At 43.5% G+C, this 14,135-nt stretch overlaps 1 pseudogene; it reads right to left on the bottom strand.

Annotated features, from left to right (window-relative positions):
* BCAS2P1 (BCAS2 pseudogene 1) lies at positions 1-2,343 on the bottom strand (annotated as a pseudogene).

Genomic DNA, 14,135 nt, shown 5'->3' with positions numbered 1-14,135 from the left:
ATAGATTTCATTTTCTAGTTGAACAATAGTCTGTTCAATCTCATAATTCTTACTGACCAGGGATACCCAATTTGACTCCATTTCTCTCAATTTAGATCCAGCGAGTTGCATGTTCTTTCTCTGCCCGTTAAACTCTTGAATATGTTTTCTTTTTATTTATTTATTTATTTATTTACTTTTTATTGATCATTCTTGGGTGTTTCTCGCAGAGGGGGATTTGGCAGGGTCATAGGACAATAGTGGAGGGAAGGTCAGCAGATAAACAAGTGAACAAAGGTCTCTGGTTTTCCTAGGCAGAGGACCCTGCGGCCTTCCGCAGTGCTTGTGTCCCTGGGTACTTGAGATTAGGGAGTGGTGATGATTCTTAAGGAGTATGCTGCCTTCAAGCATCTGTTTAACAAAGCACATCTTGCACCGCCCTTAATCCATTTAACCCTGAGTGGACACAGCACATGTTTCAGAGAGCACAGGGTTAGGGGTAATGTCACAGATCAACAGGATACCAAGGCAGAAGAATTTTTCTTAGTACAGAACAAAATGAAAAGTCTCCCATGTATACTTCTTTCTTCACAGACACGGCAACCATCCGATTTCTCAATCTTTTCCCCACCTTTCCCCCCTTTCCATTCCACAAAACCGCCATTGTCATCATGGCCCGTTCTCAATGAGCTGCTGGGTACACCTCCCAGACGGGGTGGTGGCCTGGCAGAGGGGCTCCTCACTTCCCAGTAGGGGCGGCCGGGCAGAGGCGCCCCTCACCTCCCGGACGGGGCGGCTGGCCGGGCGGGGGGCTGACCCCCCCACCTCCCTCCTGGACGGGGCGGCTGGCCAGGCGGGGGGCTGAAACCCCCCACCTCCCTCCCGGACGGGGCGGCTGGCCGGGCGGGGGGCTTACCCCCCCACCTCCCTCCCGGACGGGGTGGCTGCCGGGCGGAGAGGCTCCTCACTTCCCAGACAGGGTGGCTGCCGGGCGGAGGGGCTCCTCACTTCTCAGACGGGGCGGTTGCCAGGCAGAGGGTCTCCTCACTTCTCAGATGGGGCGGCCGGGCAGAGACGCTCCTCACCTCCCAGATGGGGTCACGGCCGGGCAGAGGCGCTCCTCACATCCCAGACGGGGCGGCGGGGCAGAGGCGCTCCCCACATCTCAGACGATGGGCGGCCGGGCAGAGACGCTCCTCACTTCCTAGATGTGATGGCGGCCGGGCAGAGACGCTCCTCACTTTCCAGACTGGGCAGCCAGGCAGAGGGGCTCCTCACATCCCAGACGATGGGCGGCCAGGCAGAGACGCTCCTCACTTCCCAGACGGGGTGGCGGCCGGGCAGAGGCTGCAATCTCGGCATTTGGGGAGGCCAAGGCAGGCGGCTGGGAGGTGGAGGTTGTAGCGAGCCGAGATCACGCCACTGCACTCCAGCCTGGGCACCATTGAGCACTGAGTGAACCAGACACCGTCTGCAATCCCGGCACCTCGGGAGGCCGAGGCTGGCGGATCACTCGTGGTTAGGAGCTGGAGACCGGCCCGGCCAACACAGAGAAACCCCGTCTCCACCAAAAAAATACGAAAACCAGTCAGGCGTGGAGGCACGTGCCTGCAATCGCAGGCACTCGGCAGGCTGAGGCAGGAGAATCATGCAGGGAGGTTGCAGTGAGCCAAGATGGCAGCAGTACAGTCCAGCTTCGGCTCGGCATCAGAGGGAGACCGTGGAAAGAGAGGGAGAGGGAGACCGTAGGAGAGGGAGACCGTGGGGAGACGGAGAGGGAGAGGGAGAGGGAGAGGGAGAGGGAGAGCCTTGAATATGTTTTCTTACCTTCTGAAGTTCTTTCTGTGAGTGTTCAATCATACGAACTAGATTTTCATTGTAAACTTTCTAGGCATTATATCCATGCTGTGACATTAGTTCCAGAGTCTCAGTTCTAACTGCTTGCTGCTTTAACTGGGCAATAAAATTGTTTACACATTCTTACCATGCAGCAGTGTCATTTTTTTGATGGGAGAAAGGGGCTGGAAGCTCATATCATTTCGTACTGAGCAATTCAATTGGTTGTCGAGCAGCCAGTCTTGCAAATTCATTTCTCATTATGTCAGTCATTATAATGGATTATTTTCCTTCCCCTAATTCTTCTCTGGGTTAAATGCTGTCTAGAATTTCAAATGCAGAATAATTCGGGGCTGTTAGGCAGCTCAGGTAGCTCTTAGTAGGTGAGTTTGCTCTTCCACCAGCACCTCAGCAGCTTTCCACACACCAGGGGCTTCATAACCTTGATCAAAATAAGGCAACGCCTCCACCACAACCTCTCCGGCCACCAAACTTGTGCCTGCCATTCTGGGGACCTTATATTGGCCTATGTTTTCTCCATTTCAGTTATTTCCATCCAATTTTTAATAATATACATAATATCACATAAAATGTTATTTTATTTTTCTTACTGCTACTTTTTTTTCCTCTTTATGGAGCTATAACTGACAAATACAAATTGTATATATTACGCTGGGCGTGGTGGTTCACGCCTGTAATCCCAGAACTTGAGGAGGCTGAGGTGGGCGGATCACTTGAGGTCAGGAGTTCGAGACCAGCCTGGCTAACATGATGAAACCCCATCTCTACTAAAACACAAAAAATTAGCCAAGGGTGGTGGCGTATGCCTGTAGTCCCAGCTACTCGGGAGGCTGAGGCACGAGAATCACTTGAACCTGGGAGGCAGAGGTTGCAGTGAGCTGAGATCATACCACTGCACTCCAACCTGGGCAACAGAGTGAGAATCCATCTCCAAAGATAAATAAATAAATATTGTGTATATTAATATTATACAATGTGATATAAGTTGTTTTGATATGTATATACACTGTGAAATGATTGCCACAATTAAGCTAATTAATGTGTTCATCATGTTGCATTGTTACAATTTTGTTTTTGGTGCTAAGAAAATTTAAGATATACTCTTTTAGTGAGTTTCATGCACACGATACAATATTATTAACGATAGTTATTATGCTGGACTTATTAATCCAGACCTTATTCATCCTGTTTAACTGAAATTTTGTTTACTTTGATGAACATTTTCCCACTTCTCTCACCCCCAGCATTCTCCTCTCTCCTTCTATGAATTTAAACTTTTTCAACTCCACATAAAAATGAGATCATGCAGTATTTGCCTTTTGTGCCTGACTTATTTCACTTAGCATAATGTCCTCCAGGTTAATCCATGTTCTTGAACATGACAGGACTTCCTTCATTTTGAGGAGTGAGTAATATTCCATTATGTATAGCACATTTTCTTTATTCATTCTTTGTCCCTCTGTTGATGGACACGTAAGTTGATTCCATATATTGGCTATTGAAAATAACACTGCAATGAACATGTATATACATATCTTTTCGACATACTGATTTCATTTCCTTTGGATGTATATCCAAAAGTGAGATTGCTGAATCATATGGTAGCTCTATTTTTAATTTTTTGGGGAAATTTCATGCTTTTCTTCTACAATGGCTATACCAATTTGTATATATATATATAAAATATATTTTTTTTCCAGCCTGGGTGACAGAATGAGACTAATCTGTGTCAAAAAGAAAAAAAAACTTTTATCAGATAAATGGTTTGAAAATATCTTCTCCCATTCTGTAGGTTGTCTCTTCACTCTGTTGATCATTTTCTTTGGTGAGCAGTATAATTTGTGCTGTATAGTTTGATGCAATTGTATTTATCTGATAAAAGGATTTTTGGTTGTTTTTGCTTTTGTTATTTGTTTTTGTTTTTGTTTTTTTGTTTTTGTTTTTAGTAGAGATGGGGTTTCCCCATGTTGGTCAGGCTGGTCTTGAACTCCCGACCTCAGGTGATCTGTCTGCCTTGGCCTCCCAAAGTGCTGGGATTACAGGCATAAGCCACCATGACTGGCCTATTTTATTTTATTTTTTGAGACAGGGTCTTGCTTTGTCACCCAGGCTGGAGTGCAGTGGCACTATCTCGGCTCACTGCAAACTCTGCCCCAAGAGCTCAAGTGATCCTCCCACCTCAGCCTCTGGAATAGGTGGGATTACAAGTGTGTGCCACCACATCTGGCTAATTTTTATATTTTAGTAGAGACAAGATTCCACCATGTTGCCCAGGCTGGTCTCGAACTCCTGACCTCAAATGATCTGCCTGCCTCGGCCTCCCAAAGTATTGGGATTACAGGCATGAACCACTGCGCCTGGCCTGGTTTTGAGTTGCCTTTTGTATATGGTATGAGATAAAGGCTTCAGCCTCCCAAAGTGCTGAGATTACAGGTGTGAGCTACCCTGCCTGGCCTCTGTCTTTGACTTTTGAGAATTTCACCATAATGTCTCTTGGTGAAGATCTCCCTTAGTTGAACTCATTTTGTTCATGAATTGTTTTCCTAATAATCATTTAGTTATCTGTGTTCTCTTATAGCTCCTTGAGCTTCTTTAAGATGATTATTTTGAATTCTTACAAATTTTCAAATAATTACAAATTATTTTGAGATACAAATTCATGAAGTTTGCGTATCCCAATTTATTTTTTATTTATTTTTACGTTTATATTTTGAGATGGAATCTTGCTTTTGTCACCCAGGCTGGAGTGCAGTGGCGCGATCTGGGCTCACTGCAACCTCTGCCTCCCGGCTTCAAGGAATTCTCCTGCCTCAGCCTCCTAAGTAGCTGGGATTACAGGCACCCCCCACCGTGCCTAGCTAATTTTTGTATTTTTAGTAGAGACGGGGCTTCACCATCTCTACTACCATCTTGGCCAGGCTGGTCTCAAACTCCTGACCTCAGACGATCCGCCTGCCTCGGCCTCCCAAAGTGCTAGGATTACAGGCATGAGCCACCATGCCTGGCCGTGTATCTCAATTTTTTAAGGTCAGGTTATTAGTGCTTTAATTTTTTTTACCTTTGGTGGTGTCATGTTTCCCTGATTATTATTTTGTGATTCTGGAAGGACCATCTGATGAGTTCAAGGCTTACTTCTGAAGTCCTCAGATGGGCTGATCTGGTGTCTGGGTCTGCAGAGGTGAATCTGCAACCCCGGTCTGTGGATACAGTCCTTAATCCTGAGTCCATGGAGATGGCCTGACACTGGGGTTCACTGGTGTGGTCTTGGTGATTGGGTCTGCTGGAGAGGGCCTGGAGCCTGAGTCTGCAGGAATAGGCCTACAGCCTGTGTCCACAGGGGCTGACAGGAAGCCCGGGTCCATTGGAGTTAACCTGGCCCTGGGATGGGTCTTGAGCATGAGTCTGCTGGGGAGTGTGCTGGTGCTAGGGCAGGCCTGGTGTCTGGGTTCTCAAGGTGGGCCTGGTCTACAAGGGCTAGCCTGGTGCTCGGACAGGTCTGGAACCTGAGTCTGCAGAGCTGGATCTGGGTCCTGGGTCCATGGGGGTGGTCCATGGGAGGGATCCCAGAGCCTGGGTCTGCTGGAACTTGGGGCCACAGGTGCCAGCCTGGTGGCTAGGGCCATGGGGGCTGGTGGCATGGCATTGGGGCAGTCCTGGAGCCTGGGTCTGTGGGGCTGGTCTGGAGGCTTAGTCTGTGGGGGCCAGCCTAAAGCCTGGGGATGTGGGGGCCAGCCTGGTGTTGGGTGAGCTTGGGTCTTTGGGATGTGGGGTCTTGCCTGGAGCCCAGGGATGCAGGGGATGGCCTAGAGTCTGGATCCATAGGGACCAGCCAGCCACAAGGGTTCAATGAGGAGGGCCTGGTGCTGTGGTTCATGGTGAAATGGGTGTTCACTCCTCTTCCTCCCTCAGAAGGCTTGGAAGACAGATAATGTGGGTAATGTAAAACTGTCCTTCCTACCCTCTTTAATGCATCTTTTCTTATTTCTGTGTTCCACCTACATACTCTCATCTCTTACCTGAATTCCTTAGCTCTTATGAAAGTATTTTTGCATGTAGATAGCTGTTTAAATTAGTGTTTCTGCAAGGAGACAGGCACTAAAAACTCCTATTCTGCCAGCTAGCTGACATCACTCCCAAAACCATACTGTATTTTAAATGTTCCTCTATGGTCTTAAAATTTTATTAATTTATACTCTGGGAAAGCGATTTACAAATATTTCACCATCAAGTACATTTTTTGGTACACATAGACCCTATCCTTCCCATCATGGATCCCAAATTTTGAAAAGTATTGTCAGCAAAGCTATATTAATTCATAATTGTTTCATTATTTTTTAAATAGTCAAGAACATTTGTGAGTGCCCATCAGAGCTAATCTGTCACTCTGAGTTGATCACCACAGCCCCTAAGTTAACACATGACTTAGCCTGGACAGCCCCATTTGAGGTTGAAGTTTGTTCTGAAACCTCCTTTACCACTTCTACAGATCCCTTAAATATCCAGGAACCCCATGTTATGACTTAATGTTTAGAAGAAAGGGTTTGCTAAGCCAAAGTATACTTACCCAGAACCCTGTCAAAATTATCTCTAAGTCTAAATAGATGATATCTACATTAATAAGCATTCAGAATCCATTTGTTATCTTGCTATAAACTTGATCTTCATCTTATAACTGGATAATTTACTCATTTAAAATATGTCTTAAGATGGAATCATTCCAGGTTTATTTTTGGATAGCACATAGGTTCTCTTTAAAAATATAAATTCAGCTGGGCATGGTGGCTCACCCCTGTAATCCCAGCATTTTGGGAGGCTGAGGCGAGCAGATCACTTGAGGCCAGGAGTTCAAGACTAGCCTGACCAACATGGTGAAACCCTGTCTCTACTGAAAATACAAAAATTAGCCGGATTGGGTGGCGCATCCCTGGAATCCCAGCTACTTGGGTGTCTGAGGCACTAGAATCACTTGAACCAGGAAGGCGGAGCTTGTAGTGAACTGAGATTGGGCCACTGCATTCCAGCCTGGGTGACAGAGTGAGACTCTGTCTCAATAAATAAATAAATAAATTCATGGCCGGGTATGGTAGTCACACCTATGATCTCAGCATTTTGGGAGGTCAAGACAGGAGAATCGCTTGAGGCCCTGAGTTTGAGATCAGCCTGAGTAACATGGTGAAACCTTGTCTTTACTTTAAGAAAAGTTAGTGTCCACAATGGTTTGAATAAGGAGCGCCAACATCAGTGGTGTCAACAATTTATTCCTAGCCACATTCTCGAATGTGCTAATGGGACACTCACAGTAAAACCTAACCAGCAGGGTGAAATGTTAGTCATACTGAAACAGGGTTAAATACAGTTGAGGTCCAGGGCTTTTACAATTCATCTTTTTATAGCAGTCTGAACCTTCAAAGTATTTTGGTATCATTAATTTTGATGGATAGAGCCACAGACTGGCTGGAACAAAATGTTTTCTGCCCATTATCATATCCTCAAATCGGAGCTACTAACTTGTTGTCCTGAAGACTTAGTCTAAATGTTCTAAGAGAAACTGTTATTGCCAGAGTTACACCCCTGATTGTTGGTTGAGAACGCAGAGTGCTTCCAAATTTTTTTTTTTTTTTTTTTGAGACGTAGTTTCACTCTTGTTGCCCAGGCTGGACTGCAATGGCGCAATCTCAGCTCACCGCAACCTCCGCCTCCCGGGTTCAAGCGATTCTCCTGCTTCAGCCTCCCAAGTAGCAGGGATTACAGGAATGTGCCACCTTGCCCAGCTAATTTTCGTATTTTTAGTAGAGACGGGGTTTCACCATGTTCCTCAGGCTGGTCTTGAACTCCTGACCTCAAATCATCCACCTGCCTCGCTCTCCCAAAGTGCTGGAATTACAGGCATGAGCCACCGCTCCTGGCCCTTCCAAATTTCTTTGTTTTTGAGTCAGAGTCTTGCTATGTTGCCCAGGCTGGAGTGCAGTGGCAAAATCTCGGCTCACTGCAAGCTCTGCCTCCCGGGTTCACGCCATTCTCCTCCCTCAGCCTCCCAAGTAGCTGGGTCTACAAGCATCTGCCACCACACCCGGCTAATTTTTTGTATTTTTAGTAGAGACAGGGTTTCACTGTGTTAGCCAGGATGCTCTCGATCTCCTGACCTTGTGATCTGCCCGCCTCCACCTCTCAAAGTGCTGAGATTACAGGCGTGAGCCACCGCACCCGGTCTTTTTCCCTGTTTTCTTTGCACCAAACTGTATCTGAGTTTTAGACTGTGCAAAGCAGCCAACTGTTTTTATCAAAGACTAGGTAAGATGTGCTTTTCTGGGATGTGTGGCGGTTATTCTTTGCTTTGGAAAAAGAAATTAGAGGAGATATTAGAAAATATTTATTGAGTTCCTACTCTGTGTAAGACATGAGTGAGAACAATATGATGTGGTTGGTTATGAGCATGGACACTGGTACCTAATTGTATGGGCTGTACCTCTTACTAACTACAGGACCTATAGGGATGTCAGTTTCCTCATCCTAAAACTGGGGTTATGGCCGGGCATGGTGGTTCATGCCTATAATCCCAGCACTTTGGGAGGCCAAGGTGGGAGGATCGCTTCAGCCCAGGAGTTTGAGATCAGCCTGGGTAACATAGCGAGACTCCATCTCTACAAAAAATCAAAAAATTAGCCAGGCGTGATGGTGCAGGCCTGTGGTCCCAATACTCAGGAGGCTGAGGTGGGAGGGTTGCTTGAGCCTGGGAGGTAGAAGCTAAAATTAGCCACGATCATTCCATTGTACTCTAGCCTGGGTGACAGAGCAAAATCCTGCCTCAAAAAAAAAAAAAAAAAGATATAAATAAAGTTATAACAGTACCAGTTATAAAGATTAAATAAGACCGTCTTTGCAAAATTCCTTTAGTGGAGTATATGACACATTTTATGTCCTACATGCTTAATAAATTAGTTTTGATTATGTTTAGTGTTTATGTAGATCTTGATTTTTCCCACTGGATTATAAATCCCCTAAGAAATGAATGAACCTCCTAAAGGGAAGGGGAAATTCACATTTCTCTTTATGTTAGATAGTATCCCTACATCTACTCTGTGTTAGATTGTTTCTTATATACTTTATACACATTTAACTCCCATCTTTTGTTATAGATGTTATCAACTTTTTATAGACAAAGAAGCTAAATCCCAGAGAGGATAGTTGAATTGCCTAAGGTTGTATAGCATTGGAGACAGAATTCACATCTGTTCTAATGCCAAGCCCCATAATTATAGACCTTAATAGTTATAAAGATATGGAGGGGAGAATCCAGTGCTTGTTGCATAATCACCTTCCGCTGTTGTTATAATCTCTTAGCAACTGTCCTAAAGTGTTTAGTGCGTGTTTCCCAAATATTAAAAAGACATATATTCAATATGGGTTATAAGTAAAAAAGTATTCATTCTACTTTCCAAAAGCAAATATAGATTTATGTCAGAGAAAAGGAATAATTAATAATTATATTTTCAGGGAGGAGGGCAAAGGAGTAGAAGGGACAAAAGGGGAAAAGAAGAGGAAGGGAAGGGAAGCTATTTTGCTGACCTGAAATACTATTAATTTAATTTACAACACTGATGAACATGAACATGCAAGAAGCCTCATAAGAAACACAGAATTAGCTTCTGCCTGGAGGAAAGAGAAGGTCAGCAGACAAATAGGTCACAGATTACCAGGAAACACTGACGTTAATAGACTCAGGTGCCGTCAAGCATAGGAAGCATTCCAAAGACAGATGAGTTTCAATCAAAATATTAATAAAATAAAGAGTAACAGTAAGGAGAAAAGGGAGCCCATTGTCATTGCTGGTGAACTTCAGATAAGTCTGACAAACCAGCAGCTTTTGGAACTGAGTTTTATTTTTATTTATTTATTTTTAAGACGGTCTTGCTCTGTCACTCCAGCTGGAGTGCAATCACAGCTCACTGTAGCCTCAAATTCCTGGGTTCAAGCAATCCTCCTGCCTCAGTTTCCCAAGTTGCTGGAAACTACAGGTACATGCGGCCATGCCTGAAAAATGCTATTCAAAGAACTTGTGAAAGATTGGTCCATAAGAAACAGAGTGTGATAAGAAGAAAGGGAATGAATAGGACAGTTGTGGAACAGACAGGAGGAAAGGAAAAGGGGGAGGAGAAAATGGGGTTAGTGAAGAAGAATATCAAAGGTAAAGAAAAAATCAGTGCCGCATGTACCTGTAGTTTCCAGCAACTTGGGAAACTGAGGCAGGAGGATTGCTTGAACCCAGGAATTTGAGGCTACAGTGAGCTGTGATTGCACTCCAGCTGGAGTGACAGAGCAAGACCGTCTTAAAAATAAATAAATAAAAATAAAACTCAGTTCCAAAAGCTGCTGGTTTGTCAGACTTATCTGAAGTTCACCTGAGGTCTGGAGTTCGAGATGAGCCTGGCCAACATGGTGAGTCTCTACTAAAAATACAATAAAATTAGCTGGGCATGGTGGCGGGTGCCTGTAATCCCAGCTACTTGGGAGGCTGAAGCACAAGAATTGCTTGAACCCAGGAGGTGAAGGTGGCAGTGAGCCAAGATTAGGCCAATGTCCTCCAGCCTGGGCGACAGAGCGAGACTCCAGCTCAAATAATAATAATAATAACAATAATAATAATGATAATCAGACCATCTAGCAGATATTTTAATGTTGTATCTACTACATGCAAAAGACTGAAACTATATGCTCTCTGAGGATACAACAAAATAATAACAAATAACACCACTTTTTGAATGTTTACAAAGTGCCAGGTATTGTAATAACAGGTTACATACTTTTTTCTATTTTAACAGCTCACTGAGGTGAGGATCCCAGACTTGAGAAGTCAATTGCAGCTAGTTAGAGGCAATGAGGGATTTCTAAACCAGGCCTATCTGGTTAAGAAAAATGCACTTTCCTTCTCCTCCTGCCTTATCCTCCCTTCAATTTTCATAAGATTTTGAAAAGTGCATATACATATTGTGTTAATTATTAAAAAGGATACATATTTATTATAGGAAAATTGGAAAACACTGTTAACAAAGTAAACAAGTAGTAAGGTTTTCCTAATCTATGCTATTTTAAAGAAGTATAAGAGGCCAGGCATGGTGGCTCATGCCTATAATGCCAGCACTTTGGGAGGCCAAGGTGGGCAGATGACCTGAAGTCAGGAGTTCGAGACCAGCCTGTACAACATGGTGAAACCCCGTCTCTAATAAAAATACAAAAATTAGCTGGGCATAGTGGCGTACACCTGTAATCCCAGCTACTTGGGAGACTGAGACAGAAGAATCGCTTGAACCTGGGAGGCGGATGTTGCAGTAAGCCGAGATCCCACCACTGCACTCCGGTCTGGGCAACAGAGTCAGAGTCTGTGTCAAAAAAAAAAAGAAAGAAAAGAAAAGAAGTGTAAGAAAGAGCACTGCTAAAGCATGTAAGAAAAATCCTGTTCTTTCACTCTCATCAACATGGAGTATCAATCTTTAAAAAATGTCTGATGAAAGAAAAAGGAAACTCATTCTTTTAATTTGTGTTTCTCTAGTACTACTGAGGTTTTGTGGTTTCTCATGTTTTTGGCCTCTTCTGCTTCATGTGTGTGTCACACAAATATACCTGCTCTTCATTTTCTTTTGGAATGTCTGTTTCTTACTAATTTGCAAATTACGTTAAGAATATTAACATTGTCTATTATAGGTAGCGATTTTTTTCTAGTTGTTTTTGTTCTGTTTACAGTACTTTTTGACATAAGGAATCTTTTCATTCTTGTGTCATCAAATCTACTAAACTTTTCCCTTTGCATTTTCCTCTTTTGTTTTCTTCTCTTTGAAAAGGCTTTCTCCACCCCAAGATTGGCTGTATTATCTTCTAAAAAGCTGGGTTTTGAAGGAGGTAAGGGACATGGATTGGCCCAGAGGAGGAGGGAAGGGATTTGAGTATTCAAGGCAGGAGCAATGATGGGGCTCATGCAGCCAGATGTAGGGATGAGGCCCAGATCTGAGCAAATAGAAATTGGACTGTATCAGTCTATGGAAGACAGATAAGGCAAAGAAAATAGAAGGGCTGGGGTATCTTGAAGCCTCAGCTATGGAGCCTGGTATTGATTTGTTAAATAGAAAATCAAGATTTATGCCAGCTTTCCCCAAAGGGGAATCCCAGATGGGAAAAGGAGACTATATTAGGATACATTTGCTAGGAGGTGTACAGATGCAGGAAGCCAGAAGAGCTAAGACACTGTTGCTGCAATCTAGGCCTCAGGTGATGACATATTAAATGGGCAGGACAGACTGGAGAAATGGAATGAAAGAGGAAGAGGCAGATATGAGAAGTATTTCTGTAGGGAAGACAACAGAAAATAAATAACTGCAATAAAAACAAACCCAGAACTTTGTAACTGAGTACACTAAGAAGCATACAAAGGAGAGAGTTTTAAAGGTGTCTGATGTTTGGAGAAGTAGGTAAGATTTCTATGTTTCAATGGAAGCAGCTGGGTGATCTGGAAGGATAAACTGTGTCAGGAGCAATGCAAAGGAGGAAATCTATGCTTAGTGTTTGGATGCTCTTAATTTGGGCTCGGTGGAATATACACAAATATCTATCCCTCAGCTGAGAGGAGAGAGAGCAGCTCACTAGTTGAATGAATGAAACTTCAAATCCAGGAGAAAAACTGAGGTACTTGATTCTCCCTTCCCCAGCACATTACTCTGAGCAAGGCCTGTACTTGAAGAAGATAAAGCAGCTTTCTGTCTCCTTAGGGTGTTTGGAACTGACTAATTAATGAGCACAGGGCCTAGGCTGGGTGTGGTGGCTTACACCTGCAATCCCAGCACTTTGGGAGGCCAAAGTGGGTGGATCATGTGAGCCCAGGAGTTCAAGACCAGCCTGGGCAACAAAGTGAGACCCCATCTCTATAAATAAATAAATAAATAAATATCACAGAGCCTAAAAGGTGTAGTTATGAGAAATGACAACTTCTATGTTAGTGTCAATACTTGTGGTGAGATCCTGTAAATAAGGTTGCCACATAAAATGCACTGTAACATTTGAATTTCAGATAAGCAATGAAAATTTTTTTGGTGTAAATATAACTCAAATGTTGAATGGGACATATTTATACCTTTACAATTTTTATTCATTGTTTATCTAAAATTCATTTTAACCTTGGTGTCCTATATTTTTATTTGCTAAATCGGGCAACCATTCCTATAAAGGGAGATTCCAAAAGCCTCCAAGAGTATGGCAGTTAGTACCAGTGCTTGGTGGAAGTTGAGAAGTGGAAAACACAGCAGGAAATTTCAACTTTCCAGAGAAGAGAAGATGCCAGTGAAGCAGGAGGAAGGGATGATAAATACGACACAGATAAATTAACCAATTTGTGTTTCTTCAGCATCTGCTATGCATTCTGCTAGGTACTTTGGGGGCTTGACTCAAGGAGATTACAGTGAGTTGTAAATTAATTCCTATAGGCAGTCATTGTACAAATATGTATTGTGAACACACTATGTGAACATACTATGTGCTAGGTTCAGGCTTTGGTACTAAATTGTCAAATAAAGAAGATAGTGCTGGAGCTTACAAAAAAAAAAGGGGACACTAGACTAACTCAAGTAAAACATTCAAAGAACAATTTGAGGTGAAACCTATTTGGAAACTAAAAATGTGCCTTCTGAAGAGCATGCTGTTTCACCCCTGTAATCCCAACAGCTTGGGAGGCTGAAGCAGGATGTTCACTTGAGGCCAGGAATTTGAGGATATAGTGAGTTATGATTGCAATACTGTATTTCAGCCTGGGTGATGAAGTGGGACCTTGTCTCAAAAAAAAAAAAAAAAAATGTGTGCCTTTTAAGAGCAACTGGGTGAACTTGCAAGATGTGTCTCCTCTAAATCTGTGGCTTTGCTTAGCTTCAAAAAGCAGCCATAATTCAAAGGAACTGGCAATCAACTGAGGGTCACACATTAATTAAAGAATGGAGGGTTTTAGCCAAGCCTTGAGTCACTCTGAAGCTTTTTTGCATGACAGCACACTGCTGCTGTAAGAACTAGCTCATGAAACATGCTAATTATTTGCAATGGTATGAGGATGAAAAGTCTGCTCTCACTACTGAGCAAAAGCATTCTTCCTCTAGACCCTCTTTTTCCTTCAAGTTCTTGAATCCCTTAGAAAAGATTTCTTATGTGAAAATGTTGAGGGTACAGGTGAGCTTTTCTGATCAGGGTGAGAGATGGTGAAAGTTTCCTTGCTGGACGGGCCTGGGACAGCTGACTTTGAACTTTTTTTGTGTCAGAGTTCTCCTTTA

Source organism: Homo sapiens, chromosome 11 (assembly GCF_000001405.40).
Source record: "Homo sapiens chromosome 11, GRCh38.p14 Primary Assembly".
In the NCBI taxonomy this organism is placed as follows: Eukaryota; Metazoa; Chordata; class Mammalia; order Primates; family Hominidae; genus Homo; species Homo sapiens.
Note: the sequence above shows the minus strand (reverse complement) of the source record. Positions and strands in the feature narration are given on the sequence as shown.